General features: G+C 43.0%; 1 protein-coding gene across 4 annotated transcripts in view, besides 4 other annotated features; it reads left to right on the forward strand.

Moving 5' to 3' along the window:
* Positions 1–9232, forward strand: part of BACE2 (beta-secretase 2) — a 114371-nt gene extending 105139 nt beyond the window's left edge. For all 4 annotated transcript variants that reach the window (NM_012105.5, NM_138992.3, NM_138991.3 and 1 more), the window contains one exon: positions 2073–9232. In NM_012105.5, the coding sequence (NP_036237.2) occupies positions 2073–2326 (254 nt within the window). In that variant the 3' untranslated portion in view covers positions 2327–9232. The remainder of the gene's footprint in view (positions 1–2072) is intronic.
* Positions 1275–2474: an enhancer, noted in NCBI's record as "CDK7 strongly-dependent group 2 enhancer chr21:42646500-42647699 (GRCh37/hg19 assembly coordinates)". NCBI's record gives its function as "activates an origin of replication core promoter dependent on BRD2, BRD4, P300/CBP, MED14 and CDK7 cofactors, with strong dependence on CDK7, by STARR-seq in HCT116 cells {active_cell/tissue: HCT116}" and the evidence as "EXISTENCE:reporter gene assay evidence [ECO:0000049][PMID:35650434]".
* Positions 6538–7093: an enhancer, noted in NCBI's record as "H3K4me1 hESC enhancer chr21:42651763-42652318 (GRCh37/hg19 assembly coordinates)". NCBI's record gives its function as "activates a minimal SCP1, AML or CMV promoter by ChIP-STARR-seq in naive H9 embryonic stem cells {active_cell/tissue: H9 hESC(naive)}" and the evidence as "EXISTENCE:reporter gene assay evidence [ECO:0000049][PMID:30033119]".
* Positions 7094–7648: an enhancer, noted in NCBI's record as "H3K4me1 hESC enhancer chr21:42652319-42652873 (GRCh37/hg19 assembly coordinates)". NCBI's record gives its function as "activates a minimal SCP1, AML or CMV promoter by ChIP-STARR-seq in naive H9 embryonic stem cells {active_cell/tissue: H9 hESC(naive)}" and the evidence as "EXISTENCE:reporter gene assay evidence [ECO:0000049][PMID:30033119]".
* Positions 16639–17139: an enhancer, noted in NCBI's record as "H3K4me1 hESC enhancer chr21:42661864-42662364 (GRCh37/hg19 assembly coordinates)". NCBI's record gives its function as "activates a minimal SCP1, AML or CMV promoter by ChIP-STARR-seq in naive H9 embryonic stem cells {active_cell/tissue: H9 hESC(naive)}" and the evidence as "EXISTENCE:reporter gene assay evidence [ECO:0000049][PMID:30033119]".

A 23262-nucleotide genomic window follows, 5' to 3' on the forward strand; every position in this document is an offset into this window, starting at 1 on the left:
AAATTTATTAGGCGGAAATTTCCTTGTCCTGATAGGCCTGGGAGCGCTATGGGAGACCGGGGCTTATTTCATCCCTTATCGGCAACCGTAAAAGACAGACATTGCCAGAGCAGCCATTTCAGGGACCTACCCCTAGGAACACATTCTTTTTCTCAGGGCTGTTCCTGCTGAGAAAAATAATTCAGCGATATTTCTCCTATTTGCTTTTGAAAGAAGAGAAATATGGCTCTGTTCCGCCCGGCTCTCAGGCAGCCAGACCTAATGGTTATCTCCTTTGTTCCCTGAACATTGCTGTTAGCCTGTTCTTTTCTCAAGGTGCCCAGATTTCATATTGTTTAAACAATTTGTGCAGTTAACACAATCATCACAGGGTCCTGAGGTGGCATACATTCTCAGCTTAGGAAGATGATGGGATTAAGAGATTAAAGTAAAGACAGCATAGGAAATCACAAGAGTATTGATTGGGGAAGTGATAAATGTCCATGAAATCTTCACAATTTATGTTCAGAGATTGCAGTAAAGACAGGCGTAAGAAATTATAAAAGTACTAATTTAAGGAACTAATAAATGTCTGAAATCTTCACAATTTATGTTCTTCTGCCATGGCTTTGGCCAGTCCCTCCGTTCGGGGTCCCTGACTTCCCGCAACAGAAACCTAATCTCCAAGGTGATGATATTTGGAGTTGGGGCCTTTGGAAGGTGATTAGGTCACGAGGGCAGAGCTTTTCTTTGTAAATGGAATTACTGCCCATTATTAAAGACAGTCCAAGAGAGCTCCCTTGTCTCTTCCACCATGTAAAGACACAGCAAGAAGATCATTATCTACAAACCAGGAAATGGGAGTATAGATTGACTGCAGGGTGCATCCCTCTGTTCTCGGTGTTGGCAGGCTCTTGTTCATTGCCTTTCTTTTTCAGTGCACTTAGGAAAGCCATATTATGACAGAATCCACATTAGCAAGAAAATGCAGTCACTTTGCAAAGTAATCAAGCCTGTTTTCCTCTGATTTTAAAACCATTCTTTTCAGGTCATTATCGCATTGTTATTTTGACTTTTTCTTTCCTCAGTCAAAAAGGGTATTATTTGGCAGCTCTGAAGATCTTGAGGCTTTAGTTACAGAAAAATCAAATTCTTAGCAGTGTTATTTTCTGGTGCCAAAATATTCATTTCTGTGATTAAATATAGGAAAAATGGGTAATGAGGCCTATTTCTTTTCCGTATTGCAAGTAAAGCTTAAGATCCCATATTCCTGAAAGGGGCAGAGAAGCCTAGTGTAGGCAAAGGAAGTCTACAGATAATCCACAAACCGGCTTTAAGAAATCATCTCAACTTCCTTCTTGGTTTGAAGTTATTCAAGAGTCTCTAGCAGAAGTCACCGGGTGAATTTTAACTGTTTCTCTTTGTCACCAGTGATGTCATGAATTAGGTGTTGCATTCACTTACTGCTCCTGGCTGTTGATGAGACCTAGGATAAGAGTGGGGCAGGGAGGGTCTCTCAAGCCAGCCTGACCCCCGGAGGTCTCACAACCCACTAAGACTATGAGTCAGGTTGATATGAGGTCCCTATCTGTTGTAGAATCCATGGTAGGGAGTGAACTCAGGTTGACTCCACTGGGGAAAATTCCCCATGACGTAGGCAGGTCCAGCTGAGCTTTCTGCGGTAAATTCTCCTTCTCTTTCTCCTCTTTTTTCATCTCCACTGAGGAAGCACAACCCACACAGCTGTCATGACCAGGTGCTGACCTGCACTCTCACCTGTGTAGTACCGCAGTGTCGCTGGCATTCCATGAAGCACAGGGTGCTTCCATATGTGCCCTGCTGCAGTTCCCCTCCACACCTAGGCTCGGTACCCACACACCTTAAAACATGCCGTCGTTCCAGTTTGCAGGGACTGGACCCCCAAAGGCACGCTGAGCCGTGACCCCACTCAGTGCTTCCTGAGCTGTCTAAGCCACTGGGACCTCAGTGGACTTTAACTGTGGTTTAATAAACCAAGGGGTTCTGTCTGTGTCCAATGTGAGAGGTGGACCGCTCATTTCACAGCTGTGGATTTTCCCTTTCTGTCTCCCCAGAAATTGCAGGTGCTGCAGTGTCTGAAATTTCCGGGCCTTTCTCAACAGAGGATGTAGCCAGCAACTGTGTCCCCGCTCAGTCTTTGAGCGAGCCCATTTTGTGGATTGTGTCCTATGCGCTCATGAGCGTCTGTGGAGCCATCCTCCTTGTCTTAATCGTCCTGCTGCTGCTGCCGTTCCGGTGTCAGCGTCGCCCCCGTGACCCTGAGGTCGTCAATGATGAGTCCTCTCTGGTCAGACATCGCTGGAAATGAATAGCCAGGCCTGACCTCAAGCAACCATGAACTCAGCTATTAAGAAAATCACATTTCCAGGGCAGCAGCCGGGATCGATGGTGGCGCTTTCTCCTGTGCCCACCCGTCTTCAATCTCTGTTCTGCTCCCAGATGCCTTCTAGATTCACTGTCTTTTGATTCTTGATTTTCAAGCTTTCAAATCCTCCCTACTTCCAAGAAAAATAATTAAAAAAAAAACTTCATTCTAAACCAAAACAGAGTGGATTGGGCTGCAGGCTCTATGGGGTTCGTTATGCCAAAGTGTCTACATGTGCCACCAACATAAAACAAAACCAAGCCTTGGCTCGTTCTCTTCTCTCTTCAATCTCTGGAAAAATAAGTACATATAGTTGATAACCCCTCTTAGCTTACAGGAAGCTTTTTGTATTAATTGCCTTTGAGGTTATTTTCCGCCAGACCTCAACCTGGGTCAAAGTGGTACAGGAAGGCTTGCAGTATGATGGCAGGAGAATCAGCCTGGGGCCTGGGGATGTAACCAAGCTGTACCCTTGAGACCTGGAACCAGAGCCACAGGCCCCTTTTGTGGGTTTCTCTGTGCTCTGAATGGGAGCCAGAATTCACTAGGAGGTCATCAACCGATGGTCCTCACAAGCCTCTTCTGAAGATGGAAGGCCTTTTGCCCGTTGAGGTAGAGGGGAAGGAAATCTCCTCTTTTGTACCCAATACTTATGTTGTATTGTTGGTGCGAAAGTAAAAACACTACCTCTTTTGAGACTTTGCCCAGGGTCCTGTGCCTGGATGGGGGTGCAGGCAGCCTTGACCACGGCTGTTCCCCTCACCCAAAAGAATTATCATCCCAACAGCCAAGACCCAACAGGTGCTGAACTGTGCATCAACCAGGAAGAGTTCTATCCCCAAGCTGGCCACTATCACATATGCTTACTCTTGCTTAAAATTAATAAATCATGTTTTGATGAGAAAAAACTATTCTATTTCACTAGCTTAGTTGTCTCTTTTTCCAAATCTTCTCTGGAAGTAGGTTGGCTATTACCCTGTTGGGAAACAGGGAAATGGCCTGATGCCCCTATTTCTGACCAGCTGTCAGGGAAGGAAGATGCAAGATGTGCAGAAGACACAAGGTAACGTCTACTTATCCCCGTGCTTCGAAACCGTGTGTTTCCCTTTGCAGAACTGGTTAGCCTCAAGCATACCCATCCAATCAGCTTAAATTGTTCAGCAGTTGACCTCTGTGCTTCTTCCTTTGGGGGTGTTTAATCTTTGGTAACAGTTGTGCAGTGGTAGCCTTATTTCGGGGGGCAGTCCCTACTTTCTGTCACTTATCGAGGCCTTTGCCAAAGAAAAGTGGAAGCCGTTTCCTTGACATAGCCTTATATGACCTGATGTCATTAGGAGAAGAGTTAAAAGACAGTATCCCCTCTCTCCTGCTTGTGTGCCAAGTTCAGTGTTCCCTTTGCATTTTTTTGGGGTGGGTTGGCTATATTACAGAATTCCACCAAAAGTGCTAAGTGTCCCCTCCTGCAGAAGTATCGTTTGTATTCACAGTAGGCTACGTGTGGATGTTTCAGCCATCTGCTCTGCTCCCTGGGTCCCCGGGTCACCACCATACTGAGAAATATAGGACTCTGCCAAAGAGACGTGGAGGCCACGTCGGCTTGTCATGGTGTCCTGGAAGACTCTCCAGCAGCCAGAAGAACCTTCTGTGCTGTTTTCACTAGAGAAGATTTGAGTTGCAGCCTCTTGGAAAGAACATGACGGCACGGAACGGGAGGAGGGGGCTCTTGTATCAGGGCCCGTTGTCACATCCGCTCTCAGCTTGTTGAAAACTCATAATCTCAGAATGCATTTCACACGGAGAGATGTCTGGAAGTCCAATTCTCATCCCATTGGCTTTTTCCGTGGTTGCTGTTTTGTGGGCCGCTTTGCACAGGAGTGAAGCCAACACCCCTAGATTGTGCCTTCACCCTTGCTGTGAAAAATTCAAAGCCCTGAAATAAGAGGAGGGAATCGCAGACATGCCCTGATTAGTTTTCCTGCTTATTTCTTCATACAGGCATCTTCTGTTCCGTTGTATTGTGTTAGGTTTCAGAGGCGGGGAGCTTCCTCCTGCAGCAGATGAACAGGCATAGTTCTTAAAATACAGGAAAGTAACAAGTGAGGTTTCCAGGTAGAGTAGGTGAATGAAGTTTGCCGTCATGCTCTGTATTTCATATCAGATTTCTTTATCTTTTCATATCGCATGTCATTGGATGTGACATTTTGATGAAAATACTGAAACTACAAAAGCATAACTTCGCAACAAGAATGAGATAGACAATTGAATGTGGGACATTTTTCTGGCATGTCTTGCTGCTGAGAATCGGACTTCCAGTCAAAACCCTGTTAGTGACACCCACCTCCTCCAGTTATGCAAATTGATGCTTAGCTTGGCAAGCTTTCAAGGAGGTTTGCTTGGAACAGGAAAGGAATTAACAACCCTTTGAGGGTGTCATTTTTACCTTGTAATACACTGTGGAAAATTCTGGAAGACGGTCCTTGCCTGAAAAGGTGCAACTTAGCATTAGGTTGTTATCAGAAACCTTGTCAAGTCTGATGGGAAATGAATAGATGCTGCTTTATTTCCTTGATAACTTCTTTGGAAGTCTGAAATAAATCCTGCCTTCAGTAACTGAAACCATTTATTAAAAATAGCAAGAAACAAGATGGGGACCAATTCTATTTTTATTCTTGGGAATTTGAAAGAGCCACAAGTGATTGGTGTCCGATCTCCCAGCATATACTGTACACTATTTTGTATTTCTCCTGAACCAAAACCAAGTACTTAGCACTCAAGAAACAGATGCCCTGTGTGTGACCGAGGGGAGTGTTTTTCCACAACAGGTTCCACTTCTGAACACTTGGAAGGACCTTGCCTGATTCATGGTGAAACACAGAGGTTTTGGTTGGAGATAAATTTGGGGTCAGTTACTGTTCAAAATTGTGAAAGTAGTTCCCAGGAAGACAGCATTAGTGACTCCGCAGTGCTTTGGGTAATAGATTTTGAAAAGCAATTGTGAGTTGGGGATTCCATCATTTCATTTAAGAGGTGAAGAGGGATTTAATTATTTAATACGCCGGGTGCAAACTTGTTAAATTCCTCTTTCCCTGTCCCTGCTTGGTGGAGCTGCCACGTGTGGTTCAGTTCTAAGTTCTGGACTAGTGCCACTCGATATCATTGGGAATAAATCGTTGTTCAACAGTCTGTTCCACAAACAACAGTAATTGAATTTCACAGACTTTATCCTGATTAGTGGAAATCAAATAATGGAGTGGAATCCCCATGTGTTTTCTCTTGCACAAACTTATTAGACTTGATTAGAAAACTGTTTGGAGGAAAAACTTGCCAGTAAGTTTTTTGGTTGTTGTTTTGTTTTTTTTGAAAAACGACGCAACACCATAAAGTGTAAAATTAGGGGTTCTGGCCAAGAGAGGTACTAGATTTTTTTAATGCCGAGAAAAGTCCATGCCACAGAAGTTATTGTGTATGTCTCTAGGGAGCTTTAAGAATTTCACGTTTGAACTTTACAGCTGTTTACCAATTAAATGGCAAGCTGGAAAAATACATTTTGAGAGGGGTAGAAAGAATAAGAATATAATTAAAAGTATGCTAACAAAATAAGCAGTACATATTTTTTTAGAAAATGCAGTTTAGGCCAGGCACGGTAGCTCGTGCCTGTAATCCCAGCACTTTGGGAGGCCGAGGCAGGTGGATCACCTGAGGTCAGGAGTTTGAGACCAGCCTGGACAACATGGTGAAACCCCGTCTCTACTAAAAATACAAAAAATTAGCCAACGATGGTGATGCCTGTCTGTAATCCCAGCTACTCTGGAGGCTGAGGCAGGAGAATCGCTTGAACCGGGGAGGCAGAGGTTGTAGTGAGCCAAGATTGCGCCACTGCACTCCAGCCTGGGCAACAGAGCAAGACTCCGTCTCAAAAAAGGAAAGAAAATGCAGTTTCATTCCAGCCATCCTTAGATTTCTTTTCCCCTTAAAGTGGCTGAATCCATTGGAGATGTGATTTATTTTGCAGATCCACCAATTCCAAACTTCAGGAATATTCAAGCGGGAGTCATGTGTAAGTGACAGCTTTGACAAAGAGAGACTGTGGCTGGGTGGCCCGGGTGTTGCCCACGCGGAGCAAGGATTGGTTCATTCAACGGATGGAGAGTACAGGATGGCTGGGACCTGGGAAGTTCCAGAATCTGAAAAGAGGGCAGGGCAAGAAGGAGCCAGAAGAGAGGTCCCACCCCTCAGTTGGCAGTGGGGCACGGAGGTCCGCATCAGCCAAGAACGTCCCCAGGATGCCGTGGGCACCTCATTTCACCCCACGTTTTTGGCACAGTCTACTTTTTAGGTATTTTGTAAAGGAACTTCTCAGGATTGATTATTTGCCAGAGGAACAATTAGGCCAAGAGAAACTTGCTTGACAGCCATGTGTAAAACACGTCTGTCCTAATCAAACTAGAGATGCCTCAAGGCCCACGCAGGACACAGGCAGGTTCAAGGTCATGCACCTGGAAATTTGTAGGGGAGGGTCAAGCAACTGAGGCCAAAGGGGGCCGGTAAAGTGGCTTCTGGGGTCTGAGCATCTGGAAGGCTCCTGGCAGCAGTTACCTGACAGTGTCGTTGAGGGGCACGGCAGCTGGGCCCTCACCGTTTCCGCCAGCTCTGCTGAGCCAGCCCAGCCCATGCATTCCGAACATCCGACAGCTTCTTTCTCCAGAATGTCTTCTGTCAGAGACTTCCAGGAAAGGAGCTCCCTCCTGTCTCACTGCTGTCAGCGTGGGAGCCCTGCTCCCCAGGCTCCACGTCCCCGGAAGGTCCATCTTGTCCTGGAGCACACCCAGCCCCATTCAGGGTCAGTGCAGGAGGGAACAGGGAATCTGCATTTCAGTAAGCTCCCCAGGTGAGGCTGCAGAGCAGAAACCACGGCTTTCAGACGTGAGCAGGCTCCCTGGGCTCTTGGTGTCACCCTGTTAGCCACATCTGCGGAATGTGGAAGGCAGAACATAGCCACGCTGCTTAGTGCTGCCAGCGAACCTCAGGTTGCATCAGTGGCTGGAATCTATCACAGCTGTTGGGGATACGTAACTCCCAGCAATAAATCCAGTATTTTCTTCCCTGCCCTGAGCTTCCTCTGGGTTTCTTATCAGCAGCTATTACACACAGATGTCCAGTGCTTCTAAACTAAATTGTACTGTGTAACTTTTACATCACACTTGTGTGCTTAAAAAGCACACCGTGGGTAGTGACTGGGCCAAGAGACATCACAAAGCTTCCTGATAAATTTGAATCCAGCCACGGCAAGAGCGACGTGCGGGTACCTGGTCCCTGATGCTTGGGTGCCCCGTTGAGCCTCGGGTACTTCTTGGACACTATTGTGAGAGCAGCCATCCTGGTGTCTCTGCCAGCATCTTGGGGAACGCTGTGATGGTAAAATATCTGTCTCTCCTCTGGGAATCAGGGCAGCCCTGAGAAGTGAGCAGTTCCCTTTACAGATGGATAATTGTTTGTGTAAGACCAACCAGATAAAGTCCAAACTGTGTAGAACACACGTGTGCCTCACACATAGCCATCTGAGTAAAATATTTTTTCCAATGTAGATTTATAATTAGAAATGACAGATTTATAATATAGACTTCAGTAAGTTGGGCACAGCTGTCACTTTCGTGGTATCAATAAAAGGCTAGAAACCTTGGGTGTCCTTGGCAACCTAGCCTTTGACATTGATGTTTTTCCATAGGATTTTCTTCATTTGGGTTGGAATAAAAATGCATTTTTATTCACAAGGCACAGACAGATAAGAATATCATAAGCAGGGAAGTGTCTCCAAAGGTCAGGACATATGTTTTTCTGTTGAGTGCTATATGTGGAGGTCATTGCAAGTTCCCTGATATGAGTATGGTTTCGCTTGCTACATTGTGCCTATTAAAGTAAAATTTTACACAAGCCTCGCATTTCTAAGATTAGTGTTCCTGAATGAAATGTTAAGAAAACATTAAAAGATTATCTCTTTTTAAGATGGAGGAAAAAAAGTGAACAAAGCTAATTAATCTATCATGAAAATTGCACAAAATAACATTTCTTAACAAATTTAATACAATTTTGTGTTCTTTGTTGCTAGTGGTATAAAACGAGATTTTTTTCCCTCATTTTTCTCATTGTAGATGTCATCTCTCACATTTATATCAGTGAGGTTTGAAATTCTGTGTAGCAGTTACTCAGCACATATGAGAGGGCAGCGAATGAATGAGATTTGTCATGTGCTAATAAAAGCTGAATTTTTGTAATCTAAAATGATGTATTTTCTACTATTGCTGTTAATTTGCATTGTTAAAAATTCTTAAAGTTTAATATGTTATGTTCAGTCATTGAAAGCGACCACTCATTTTTTTCTTAAAGTTGATGCCTTTTCTGCTGTGCTAGAGTCAGTATTTTGCTTCTGGCAGGAGAGCTGCAAACTGTGTATCCTCAAACAGATGCAAAAAGTAGTGCTTTGCAAAACGTTTGTTTTCTGTTTATCTCAGATTAACATCCTTTAATACAAGTTTCTTAAGTGTAACTTGTATTTCTGAAAATGCTTAAAATTATTTTATATTTCCCTTTGGGAATTTTTCTCTATTTCCAGCACGCTGATTTGATTTAAAAATGTAATAAGACCAAGAGTTGGAGTAAAGGGATATTCATTCCATGTTAAAAGTGGCTTCATAGCTACTGACAAATGTCTGAACTATTGTCGTGCCCTTCAAAACTGGAGTTTTCTAAAATAATCTTATTTTTATACTTGTATGTTCCAGCAATTTAAGATATATACCATTGAAAGGGAAATAAAACATTTTTGTTTATTTGAATAAATAATACTCCCAACCTGTTGCTTTTGGAATGTTTTGTAAATACTTCTCTTGGGTCACATGTCTGGCGGTCCATTACGTCCACTCCTTCATTGTGGGTTCCTGGAAAATGTCAAGGATAAAATGGAGTGGAAGGGAGGGTTCAGGCTCAATCATTAAGATGCAAAACATGCTGAAGGTGGGGAGGGTAAAGTGCTTTAGAGTCTGGAAACCCTACAGGTGGAAAGAAAACACCTGCAGAGAAGAAACTCAGTAAGCACATTTCAGCGGTCTTAAGGATGGGACAGATGGCTTAGCTTGGTCCTGGGGACTGAGGGTGACCAGGTTGGCAATGCCTGTGCGGTCACTCCCATGATCACCCTGCAGGGAGATGGCATTCTACCATTTCACAGACGAGAAACCATCTCTGAGTCACCTGCCCAGAAAAACACAGCTAAAAAGTGGAGAGGAACCCAGCTCTGTTCCCCTCCAACAGCCCAGCTCTTTCTCTGCACTACACTCTGGTCCATCCGCCATCCTGAACCACACTCTCAGAGCCTAATGCATCACTTGTGCCAGAAGAATCCAGTCTAGTGGTCAGTCTCTAGAGAAGGGTGTGCACCAATATGGGCACAGCAGAAGCTCTTAGTGAATGAAATGAAGATCATCCATGAGCCATGATCTAGCTGCTATGCCAATCCTTTAAATATACGCTGCTTTCAATGACTAGACACTTTTTGTCTGACAATATCCAAATGAGGAGAAAAGAAGGAATCTCCAACCATTAGGAGGTAAAGTGATAGTTACTGGAGAAACAGAGTAGAGTATCTGCTTTCTAGTAAGAAGGAGATGATTTATCCTATTTCGCCATCCCTAAGCTGGAGGGGACATAACGGATGGGATTTTCACGAGTCTGTCACTAGGTGGTGGTGTTGTAAAGCGTTGTGGTATACATAACGTTTGTGCCTCTTTCCCCATTCCGTGTAGCTTTCACAAAGCAGCTTTTTATCAAGTATGGGTATGTAAGTAGACTACATCCCAGAGCTTTTTCATTCTGTGCTTTATAGAATCTGAAAAATAGGCCAGCTAGAGGGGTACTCAATCTTAGAGGCAACCGCCAAATACACATTTCCAGCCCTGGCCTCTACCTGGGTTTTTAGACTTGTATCTCCAAGTTCCTTCTGGACGTGTCTGCTTGGCCATCACTGGGAAGGAAACTGAGGCACAGAGGTGCTATAAAGTCTCCAGGTTCTTCTGGAAATGACAGCCAGATTCAAAACACCAGTGTGTCTGGTTACCAGGCACAAGCTCAATCATTATGCCATTGCCTTTTTAAGGTTAAAGATTTAAAATTACATATGCTAAAATCAAAATGCTACGAGGAAAAAATATTGGGGAAAATATTTGTAACAAATATAAGGGCAGAAGCTGACATTTATCGAACAGCAAATTCTGGCCACGCATCCTGCCATTTCATTCTCAGAACAACCCACAACGAGGTGCACGTGGTACTAAAAACATTTTAAAACCCAAGGTCTGAAGACGGAGCTGCTCCCAAGGACAGGCTCAGGGAAATCAGGAGGTCCAGGGAGGGGAGAATCTCACCCCACAGGATGAGATGCCACAGGCCAAAGGCTTAAGAGTCATCTCAGTAAAAAATGTAAAAACAAAAAGACCTACTGTCTTCAGCATACACAGATTGTACGAAATAAGCCAAGTGTATTATTTTCTGTATTTGATGCTGTGATAGCTGGAGCCCTGTTGACCCTGAAAGGACTGCCTCTCTCAGGGTTGGCTAATTCTAAGAGAAAGTCAACGACTCCCCTGGCAGCCTGCCTTTTAGATGGAAACCCCCGATCCAGAGCGCACACCCATCCACCTCCTCTCTGGAGCTCTCACACTCAGGCCATATCCACCTGCCCTCATCACCCCAGAGCCAGGTACCAGACAACTAGGCACAATTTCCCTGCCCAAAGCCACTGAAATTATTCTAACTAGCCAAAGCTAAGCCTGCTTACCCTGCCTCTTCCCTTCTTTCCTACAGAAACCACAGTAAAGCCTCCTGTTCCGTCTTGCCCCATCCTTCGGCCTCCTGACTACCCCTGTGCTTTGCTGCGTGGCCCTCAGTGGCAGCTGTGCCTTCTGTTTTTAGGCATCTATGAATACAAAGAGCTTCTTTCTTTATGACAGTCTTTTGTGTGTCTGTGTGCCTTATTACACCTCATTAAAACAAATCCCAGATACCCTTCAAACACCAAGAATAGAAGAGTGTTAGAGTCCAGTAGAAAAACATGCAAGGGCTGTCAACCAACAGCTGGCCAAAGTGGGAATACAAATGGCCGAGAAACTGAGAAGTGTTCAATCTTATTAATGTATGCATAATATGTAAGTAATTACAGATAGAATGAACAAAGCTTTTAATTATTAATAGATGTCCAAGAGGTCACCCATCTTCTGCTTTGCTGATGGAAAGTGTAAATCAAAACAATCATTTCAAAGAGCCCTAAAAAATAGCCAAGTCATCTTTACATCAATACTTTCTTTAGAAATCTCTCCTAAAGAGATAGAAATATGGACAAAATGGGATAGGGTATAGAGCAAAAAAAGCAATTTGCTGAATATGCCAATATTTCATTGATTTTTAAAGGGAAATATCATATATGGATGTGAGAGTATAGAATTTAAGAGTGTAGTAAGTACATGAAATTCACACTAATCTATTACCCTCAAATTAGGACTCATACATAAAGGAGATGGCTTAAGGATGTTTAAATTAATTTTATTTTGTATTCAAGTAATACGTTGTAATGGTTTATTTTATGTGTCAACTTGAATGAGGCATAGGGTGCCAGGATATTTGGTCAATTATTATTCTAGATGTGTATATTAACTCAGGCCACCATAACAAATGCTATAGGCTGGGTGGCTTAAAAAAACAGAATTTTATTTTCTCTAATGTCCTTGAGGCTGGAAAGTCCAACATCAAGATTCAGTAGGCTCCTGGTGAGGGATCTCTTCCAGGCTTGCAGGCAGCTGCCTTCTTCCTGTGTCCCCACATAGCCTTTCCTTGGTGTGTGAACATGGAGATCTCTCTGTTGCTCTTTCTTTTCTCATAGGGTTGCCAATCATATTGGATTAGGATCTCATCCTTATGACCTCATTTAACCTTAATTACTTCCTAAATGCCCTATCTCTTATGCAGTGACATTGGGGTGAGGGCTAGGATTTTTGGGGGCACACAATTCAGCTCATAGCAGTGTGTCTGTGAGGGTATTTTTGGATGAGATTAACATTTAAACTGGTAGAATGAGTAAAGAAGATTGCCTTAAGGCAGGTGGGCCTCATCCAATCACTTGAAAGCCTAAATAGAATTTAAAACACCTGATCATTTTACAAGCCCAAACTCCTCCTGCTTGATTGCTTTCACCTGGGACATGAGCCTTCTACCTTCAGACTCAGACTGAAACTCCAGCTCTTCTTGGGTCTGTAGCCTGCCAGCTTTTGGACTGTAACTTACACCATTTGTTCTCCTGGGTCTCCAGCTTACAAACTGCAGATCTTTGGATTTCTTAGCCTCCATAATCATGTAAGCCAATTCTTTTTAGTCAATCTCTCTAGAGAATGATATAGATAGATAGATAGATAGATAGATAGATAAATAAATGATAGATAGATATTCTGTTTCATCTTATATATGTTCTGTTTCTGTTTCTCTGGAGAACCCTAACTAATGCATACAGTTAGTCATTATTAAACATTAAATAGTTTCAAGAAGCTTATCACGAGGTGTCTACTGCCTCACTTCTCCCCACCTCAAGGTCCTACTGTGTAGTGGTAGTTCCTCCTCCACCAAATCTTCTGTTTGCCTTGATGGTTGCTTGCATATTTCCAAATTGTATATTCATGCTCTGTTTGTTATCTGGTCAGCCAATAGCCTTGATTCCATTGATTTAGTAATTGGCAATCTGAGCATTTTCTAAATTCCTACATAGATTGGGCCCATTGCCAGACTCTCCTGATCCCATCTATGTGTCTGTTTTTGCATCTGTGCCTGCAGTTTTTGTTACTATTGTTTATTAATGTGATCTTTAATGTGTAGCTGGCCAGTCTCCCCCAGTTAATCATCTTACGTGATATTATCACAAATGTGTTCATCTAGATATCCTTTAGAAATACTGAACAACTTTCTTTAAATTCTCCTTTTGAGATTTGTTTTGGAGTTTCACTAAATTTATAAATGAATTTAGAGAAAATTTACTTCTTCACAATACTGAGCCTTCTAATTCAAAAGAAAGGTATACTTCCATGTTTAAGTCATTATATGTCCCTCGGTAGAGTTTATTTTATGTAGCTCCATGCCTATTTCTTGATACCTTAATTCTCAAGGATGTGGGATGTCCTGTTGTCATGAATGGGGGGCCTCTTTACCTATTAGGCACATACTAGCTGTGTGACCTTAGCAAATTACTTAACCTCTTTCTGCTTCAATTTCTCAGCTGCGATATGGGACGAGCAGTAGTACTACATCACAGTGTTGGTATACTAATTAGCTGAGCTAATTTTGTAAAGTACTTGGTATAGTGTTTGTCACAGACGCACTGCATGTGATGGTTAATTTAAAAAAAAATAGATTAAAATTTGCAAATTCTTTTTCCAGTTTGTTGTATCTTTTGACTTTGCCTGTGTTTGGTTTTTTGTTTTGGCCTTTGAAAAAAAGTGCATACATATATACATTCAAATATGCTAAACATGTTTTAATAAGGATAATGGATTTGGGTCCACTGGAAAGGGCTTCCCAACTCCAAGTTTCTAAAGAAACCCTTTCCTGTTTTCTTTTAGAATATTTATGATTTGATTTTTAACACTTTAATCTGTTTGGAATGTATGCTCAGGCAAGATGTGAGGTATGATTTTACCCAGTTGTTGAATGGTTTGCCCTGTTGTTCCAACATTATTCTTTAAATAATTCATCCTTTCCATTGGTTTGACATGAAACTTTATCACACACTTAATCGTTGTGTGTGTTTGGGCTTCTTTTTTGACTTTATTTTTCCACTTACACTTCTCTTCCTCTTGTCTGTCCAAGCACTTGCCAGCACTAGGCTGTATTATAGTTTAAAAATTAATACTAGCCATCATGGCTGCTTCATTCACATTACCCTTCTATTTCAAAATTTCCATGGATATTTTTATTTTTTCATATGAGCATTTAAATCAGCTGTTATACACTCCCCTAACAAATATTTATTGTAATTTTATTGGGATCACATACGTTTATAATTTAACTTAGGGAGACTTGACACCTTTCTGATGTTGAATTATCCTGTCTAAGAAGGGGAAGTGTGTTTCCATTTGTTAGTTTTTCCCTTTTTGTTCCTTAAGAGCATTTTAAAGTTTCCTTGATTGCTATCTTGCCAATTTCTTATTAAATGTATTTGTAGGTATTGATCTTTTTGGTTGTTAATGCAAATGAGGCCTTTTCTTCCACTAAATCTCCTAACTGGTTGTTGTTTGTGAATACGAAAACTGGTGATTTCTATGTATTAATTCTTACTGTGTTTCATAGTAAATTATTTTGTTTGAGATTTTTCAGGTATTTTGGAGTGTCCAGGTATACAATTGTATCATATGCAAATACCCATAGTATTTCTTCATTCTTTCTAATTTTAGACCTCTGTTTTCTTTCTCCTATCTAATTACATTGTCCGGTACCTGTAGCATAGTGTTTAATAGTAATGGGCATTTTAAAAATTTTGTTCCTAGCTTTTTAAACTGGTACTAGTGGCTGAGAGATATATAACTTATTATGTTGAGGAAATAGCCATTTATTTCTATTTGATTGAGAATTTTATTAAAAGTTTTACAATTTTATTAGATGTCTTTCATCATCTATGGAAGACATCTGATTTATTGAATAGATTTAAGAACATGTTGAATTATATTACTAGACATCCTAATATTGAATCATGTGCATTTCTAGAATAACTTCTGTTTGGTCATGATATCTTTTAATGTGCTTAAGATTATGCTTTATTTAGCATTTTTCTAACTGTAATTGCAAATTTAGTTGGTCTGTAGTTTTCTTTTTCTGTCAGTGTTGTATGTCAAGTGTCACTGTTTGCTTCATAGAAATAATTTGGATGTTTTTCCTTTTTTCTAGGCTCTAGATATGGCATTATGTACTCTTTAAAAATGTGGTAGAATTCCCTTCAGACACTCTCTGGTCCTGGTGTTATTTTGAGAGGCAGTGCCTTGATGAGTTTCTCTGTCTTCTACGGAAATAATCTGTTCAGATTTTTTATCTCTACTGTATCAGTTTTGATAAATTATATTTTCTTATAAAATTATTCATCTAAGTTTCCAAATTAAGCAGAACAGTGTTATGATTTTTTAAATTTCTCCTGCTTTTATAGTTGTTTTCCCTGATTTCCTATATTGTATGTTTTTATGCACACACACACTCTCTCTCTCTCTCAAATTCTTAGCTCATGACTTATCTATTTTATTAAGAATTTTTTTCCTAAAGGTTTAATTCATTAGTTCTACTATTTAATGCTCTTATTACTTTGTTTTTGTTTTTATTACTTTTGCCTTGTTTAGTTTTGATTGATAATTCACTTGTTTTCATTCTGTTACACTGGCATAAGCATTTATGGCAATAAATATTCCTCTACGCACTGATGTAATTGTTTTTCAAATATTCTGATATGTCTTTATTTTCTAAAAAGTCTACATTTCTTCTGTTTATTTTCTCTTTCACCAAAGAGGAGTTTAAGAGACATTTTTGAAATTTTTTAGTGGAAGGTGCTTTTTGTTTTCTGGTAATTTCCACTCGAGTTGCCCTGTGATTATAAGTGTGGTCTATAACAGTGGTCTCCAACCTTTTTGGCACCGGGGACCGGTTTAGTGGAAGACAGTTTTTCCACGGGTGGGAGGTGGGGGATAGTTTTGAGAAGAAACTGTTCCACCTCCGATCATCAGGCATTAGTTAAGATACTCATAAGGAGCCTGTAATCTAGATCCCTCGCCTGCGCGGTTCACAACAGGATTGCTCTCCTATGAGAATCTAATGCCGCCTCCGCTGATCTGGCAGGAGGCGGAGCTCAGGCGGTAATGTTCCCTCGCTCACCTCCTGCTGTTAGGAACTAGGCTGCTCACCTCCTTCTGTGCAGCCTGGTTCCTAATAGACCACAGACCGGTACCAGTCCACGGCCCGGGGTTGGGGAAACAGGTCCAGGATGTGGAACTTGAGATTTTCTTTATGGCTCAGCACAGACCAGTTTGCATGTTCTATGGGTGCTTGAAAAGAAGGTGCATTCTTTCCTTCGTGGTAGATAATTTGAACTATATCCATTGATGCTATTCTATTATGCTGTGTAGCTTTGCCATATCTTTACTCTTTAATGTGATCTGTCCTGGACTGAGAGAACTGACGCCTACTACCAATGTGTTTTTATCTGTTTCTGTTGCACTCAGCTAATCTCTGTGTTATAAACATTGCTGCTGTATTGCTTTGTCCGTACGTATTATGTGTTATAGACCTAGGAATCTCTCCTTTAAAAAATAAGGCAAAGTGCTTCGCTTTGAAACATTTAATGCCTTTGGTGTGAATTACTCCTTGACTGGAATGAAGTCTCCAGACCTCGCTCTGTGGTTGTTTGCAGTGGCATCCTAGGAAGTACCCATCCCTTTATTTCTTTTCCTATTAATTCCCTCTTTCACCATGGAATGATGGACCAGCTATTCACAGGAGGCTCCACAAGCGCAGAGGGTGTGGGCGGCCTTCCAGTTTCCACCCAACCTTCCAGGCGTGTCTTCCAATAGTCCCCGTGTCTCTGCGGCCAGGGAGACAGTCTGTCTTCTGGGAACCGGAGCATGTGCGTGTACGGTTGCAGAGCCTAACTCTTCTGACTCAGTGTCCATGAACCCCACTGCCCTGCAGCCCCGCTTGCCTGCTTTTCCATTCCCACTGTGAGAAGGAGGGATACGGCTTTGACGTTTCGTGCTGAGCTCCTCACTAGGGAATGTTTTTGGTGCCTTCTGAGGCTGGGCGCTGCCGAACCCTCTGACCACTAGCACCCCCGTCTCCTCGTCCCCTCGTCCCCTCCCCACGCTCTCCGCCCCGCCCCAGGGTTGCAGCTCCTGCACATTCTTTGCCCTCTGCGCCTCCCTCTGCCCCCGAGTTTCACTGGAAATGCAGCCTTTGGGGATCTGTGGTTCGTTTTGTTTTGTTTCATTTTTCTTGTTGTTCTTCTGGGATTTCCAGGAGAAGGGAGCAGTTGCTAACTTATATGTGATGTTTACACTGGAAGTTTTTATTGGATATATTTTGCCCTTCAGTACTCATTGTATGTTTTTTGTATCATTTTAAGGTTTTTTTCTACAGGAATGTTTTAGTTTGGTTATTTAAATGTTTTTAACTTTTTATTGAAACTTGGATAATGATTTATTACAGAAATGCTCGCAGCTGTGTTATTCAAGGTGGAAAAAAATTGAGGTGATCTAAGTGTCCAACAGTAAAGAAATCGAGTAATTGTTACACACCCATAGGGTGGATTATTCAGTAGCCATTAAAAATAGACTTTAACCATTTTAAGGTCAGGAAATAATATTATTATTAAAAGAAAAAATATAAACTGTCTATGCAGTGTGATGCACAATTTTGAATGCACACTTCCCACACACACACACACACAGAGAAAAGAAAAAAGACCAAAGACCAGAAATAAATGTACCAACAAGTCAAAGAAGTGAGGTTAACAAAATTACAAGTAATCTAAAATATTCTTGGAAAAAGTCTGTATTTCCTAAAAATATATCATTTTTCCAATCAAAATATAAATCAGCCTATTATCATCTTCCTGGCCCCACATTTGATCTCGTTCCTGTTCCACTCCCTGTCTTGGTGGATGGTGCCCCGGCCCCCATAGCCTGGGATGGAAGCCTGAGTCATTCCTGCCTCCTCCGTTCCCTTCACTCCCCATACCTGACTGGTCATGAATCCTTTTGGTTCTGCCCCCTAAACAGCTCCAATCTTTGCACCTTCACTGGGATTGTTCTAATGATCTGTCTTCTGATCTTGAGTTAGTTATTTTCTTATTTATCTCCCAGCCTTTATCCTCTCCCACCTTGATACCACTTCTCCATGGATTGTGCCAGTACCAGCCTAAACACTTCCCATGGCTCCCTGCAGCCTACAGGAGAAAATGCAAATTCAACCAGTCAAGGCCAGCCCCAGTCTGACTCGAATCTACCTCTCCCGCCACACACCTGCTGCACTCCAGTCTCTAGGGACTCTGAATTCTAGCATTGAACCTAGAGTCAAGAATGACCATCAAATTCTGTCAGCACTGGCCACACAACAGACTCTGAGCAACCAGCACAAATCCTGGCCATGCCAGCTGCCATGGGCGGCCAAATCTTCCCTGCCTAGAACTTAATAGATGCTCAACAGACATGGCTTGAACACATGAGGAATGGAGGGAGGTGATTCAGTCTGATGCCCCTTTTCAGACAGAACGAGTGTTAAGCCATGCTAGGAAAATGATGATGTCTCAACTTAGAGTTGTTAAAGAGTAGAAACCCCAGATTCCGCATGGCTGATACACAGCAGGCGAGCCCTAAAATTGGGGCTTAGCCCAGGAGGGTTCTTGGCTTCGCCCAGCAAAGAACTCAAGGGTGAGCTGATGGTGTTAGGCAGCAGCTTTTATTGAAGTGGCTGTGTGCACAGCAGCAGCAGAGGTACTGCTGTTTGCAGAGCAGGGCTACCCTGTAGGCAGTGTGCCTAGAGTAGCAGCCCAGAGGCAGTTCTGTGGTCACGTTTATACCCACTTTTAATTATATGCAAATTAAAATGTGGATTATGCAAAAATTTCTAAAAATAGTGTGGTAACTTCCTGGTCATTGGGTCATGGCCATGGAAAGGGGCGGCAACATTCAGGTGTTTCCCTGGCAATGGTAAACTGACATGGCACTGGTGGGCAGGTCTTACGGAGAGGGGCTTTTGCCTCTTTCCTGTTTCAGCTAGTCCTTAATCTAGTCCTTCATCTTGGTTTGGTGTCCAAGCTCTACAGAGTCAAGTCCCACCTCCTACTGAGAGATGAAGCCAGCTGGGCTTCTGGGTCATGTAGGGAACTTGGAGAAGGGAACTTGGAGAACTTTTCTGTCTAGCTAAAGGATTGTAAATGCACCAATCAGCGCTCTGTGTCTAGCTAATCAGTATTCCGTAAAAACGGACCAATCAGTACTCTGTAAAATGGACCAATCAGTTCGCTGTAAAATGGACCAATCAGCTCGCTGTAAAATGGACCAATTTGCAGGATGTGGGTGGGGCCAAATAAGGGAATGAAAGCCTGCCACCCCAGCCAGCAGCGGCAACCAGCTGGGGTCCTCTTCCAGTCTGTGGAAGTTTTGTTGTTTCACTCTTTGCAATAAATCTTGCTGCTGCTCACTCTTTGGGTCTGCACCACCTTTATGAGGTGTAACACTCACAGTGAAGGTCTGCAGCTACACTCCTGAAGCCAGCGAGACCACGAACCCACAGGAAGGAAGAAACTCCAGACATATCTGAACATCTGAAGGAACAAACTCCGGACACACCATCTTTAAGAACTGTAACACTCACTGCGAGGGTCACAGATTCATTCTTGAAGTTAGCAAGACCAAGAACCCACAGGAAGGAACCAATTCCGGACACACTACTTCACAGCAACCATTGCAATACCACTTAATGTTTTGATTGAGCAGTGTCAGGTCAGGGCATGCTCCTGTGTTATCTCCATACTTGTCCTTGCACTTTTGCTTTTCCCTTTAATCCTTTCAGCAACCTCACTGGGTAGCTAGAACAGACAGTATCATGTGTTATAGAAAACAGAGGCTCTATCGCTCAGTGCTTTGCTGGGTGCCTTTCCAGTCAGGATGTCCAAATTGGTCAACTGACTTGTACGAATCTTATTACTTATTAAATCCTTGGGAATTTCAGAGGCATATACTTATTTCAGTTGTAAGATTATTTCTTTATTCTGTATTCACCAACCTTGTGCACTGTCGCTTCATTTCCTTGGCCCATGTTTTATATGATTCAAGTTTGAGTTACCATCTTCCTTCTGTGAACTTTTATGCATTAAGGGCATCCCTTCTTTCATTGGTCAGCTGACCTGTGTGTAGGTAAGGAGGAAACATTCAAATAGAAATTTGCATCCTTGGCCCTGAACACTAAACTACCCGCTGAAACAAGAGCCACATTCTCTCCTATGAATCACTAAATCAATGCCTTGTTTATGGATTTCATTTTCATTCACTCAAAACTTAGGGCATCAATAAACGGAGGAAAAAGACGATAAAATACTGAAATGAGTGAAAGTCAGGAAACTTAAATCGCAGTCTTGTTGACGTAGGAGGGAGAGAAGGGGCTAGAACAATGGTCTACAACTTCTCTCTTTGTTCTTGCTCATGGGCACTTTCCTCTATTGGCCCTGAACTCTCTCTTGCCTTCAAGTCTCACTAGATTTTCCTTGCACAGAATTATCTAGGTCAGGGCTTCTCAGAGTTGAATGTGTATGTGAGTCACATGGGGATTTTCTTAAAATGCATATTCTGATTCTGTAGGTCTGGGGTGGGCCTTCCTGACGAGTTCTGGGGCAATGCTGCTGGTCCATGGCTACCCTTACCAAGATCTAGGTTACAATTCCTCCCCTAGCCCCACCTTCACTAAACTCTCTCCCTGGTTACTGCCGCTCATCCTTCAGGCCCCAGCCAGGCCTCACCTCCCCCTGGAAGCCCTCCTGGTCCTCCTGAGGTGGGATAAAAATCCCCACCCTAATGATATTGATTAGTTTGGCCTATATCTGAACCTGCCGTTGAACACTGTTCCACCAGGGTCCTGCACCATGCCTGGCTCCTGAAAGATACTCAGTGACTCTTCCAAATCCAAATCGAATGAATGAATGATTGCCTGTATGTTTTGCTCTGTGCTTTCTACAGTCTCATTAAAACATTTTCAGTCCCCATACAGTAAAAATGTGAAATGTGCTTGTGTGTGTGTGTGTGTTTGGGCATGCATGTGTGTGAAGATCCATTTCTATACCATGCACTCAGCAAAGACACACTGATTTCATTCTTGCAGAGCTGCTGCTATCCTCCCCATCAATCCTCCTGTGCCTTCCAGCCCCTCCCCTGCACTCCCACTCTCCACCCTTCCACCTGCACTTAGCAGGAAAGAGCTCCAGGAGGAGGAAGAGCATGTCTCCATTTGTCCCCTCCCCCTGTGCACAGGTGGCCTCAGGTGACTCCTCTCCTGATTCCTAACATGTGCAGCCTTCCTTCAGTTATCAGAAGGCATTTGTTTCTCTCATTTTCTGAAACCAGCTCCAGTGGTGAGTCCCAGGCTTGCTCTTCCTAAGGCTTCTGTGGAGCAGCCATCTACCAGATACAGGAGGGGGCCACTCTGACAATTCCTTCCCTGTAAGATGGGAATACTAACACCCACCTTACCAAGATAGCCCAGGTGTGCATGGCTCAGATAATAGTTTTGCTTACCTTCCTGTCCCAGCATGTAGCACATTGCCTGGCAGATATCAGGTACTCAACAAATATTCTTTCACTGAATATATCGTTGAAGGAAGAAATGAAAGCATTTGGTAAGCTGAACTCTTAGAAGAAATCAGAGGTATTAATACAGACAGTTTTAATGTCTTTGAAAGAGAAGAGAATGAATCCAATCAATAGAACTGCCTCCCAGGTGTAGGAAAATTGAGGTATTCCTCTTGGTTCTTTACTAGGGAAACCACAAGTAGCTTTGTAAAAATGCAGTGACTCAAGTTGTCAGAGGGAGAGGAAGAAGGAAGAGGTGGTTCCTCCCATCGTCATTAAAATAAACCTGGTTCTTTACCTATTTGCTCACTCGTTTATTCTGTTAGTCCCCAAATATTTGTGGGGTGCCAGTGTACTCCAAACCCTGTCCTCGGCCCTGGGGATTCAGTTGGGAAGCAAAGGCCCTGTCCTCATGGAACATGAGTCTAGCAGAGAAGGGGGGTCACACTCCAGGTAATAAACAGGTTAACAAGTGAATGTCTAAAATAATGCCAGGTGCCATAGGTGCTATGGAGGAGGGAAAAAAGGCAGAGAAAGAGGAGAGTGATGGGAGGGGGGGTGCTAATTTAGAGAAATACCCCCATGGCCAACATCCCATCCCATCCCACCCATTATTATGGTCCCTTTCCACAGCGTCCCTCACAGCCTGCTCTTTTGTGACTTTTCCCATCTTGGAGGCTAACCTTGGTAGTGACAGCCCAGCAGCCATCATCTGCACAAACATTTGGGGGAGGTTGGAGGAAACTCCAGGAACTGGCCTTTCAAAAGCCAGAGTAGCATGCCAACAGGCAGGCCTGCCCTCTGCCCCACCAGCCCTGCGGTGGGTGTGGTGACAGGCTGTGCCCTGCAGGCTGGGACTCGCTTCTGGGTCCCCTTCTCACTCACGCTTCTGTGGCAGCCCTTGCCCCACCAAGAGGCAACCCTTGTTCATATACCAGGAAGCAAGGGTCTGGCAGGAATGCCATTTGGGAGGTGTCTAGAAGGGCAAAGTACTTGAGAAGTGCATTTTCTCAGTAACAGCAGCCAGCTCACTCACCCCACTCCCTGATTAGGACATCATTAAGGTTTCCTTTCATTCTGCCCTCCTTACCTCCACCCATTCTACCCAACAAGGCCCACCTCGGGAACACCTTCATCTTCTCACCTGCCTGCCCTGCCAGTCACTTGGCCTGAGCAAGCTCTGCTTCTGTGAGCCAAACCACCATCTCCATCTTCCTGTCAGGAGATTGAAGTGACCTTTCCAGGGTCCTTTTCACCTTGACATTCTATGACTCTGGTCTCATATTTTTTAAGATTCAGATGGTCAATTGCTCTTTTAATAAACTAACCCTGTAAATAAGTATTTCCAGGAAGAAAAAAATGCCTGTGACCTGGCAGTCCTTCTCAAGCTTTGCACACACATCACAGGGGATCTTGATAAAATGAGGATTCCAAAGTGGGGGGGCATTCTTCTGTTCTAACAACCTCCCCAGTGGT

Source organism: Homo sapiens, chromosome 21 (assembly GCF_000001405.40).
Source record: "Homo sapiens chromosome 21, GRCh38.p14 Primary Assembly".
Taxonomy (NCBI): Eukaryota; Metazoa; Chordata; class Mammalia; order Primates; family Hominidae; genus Homo; species Homo sapiens.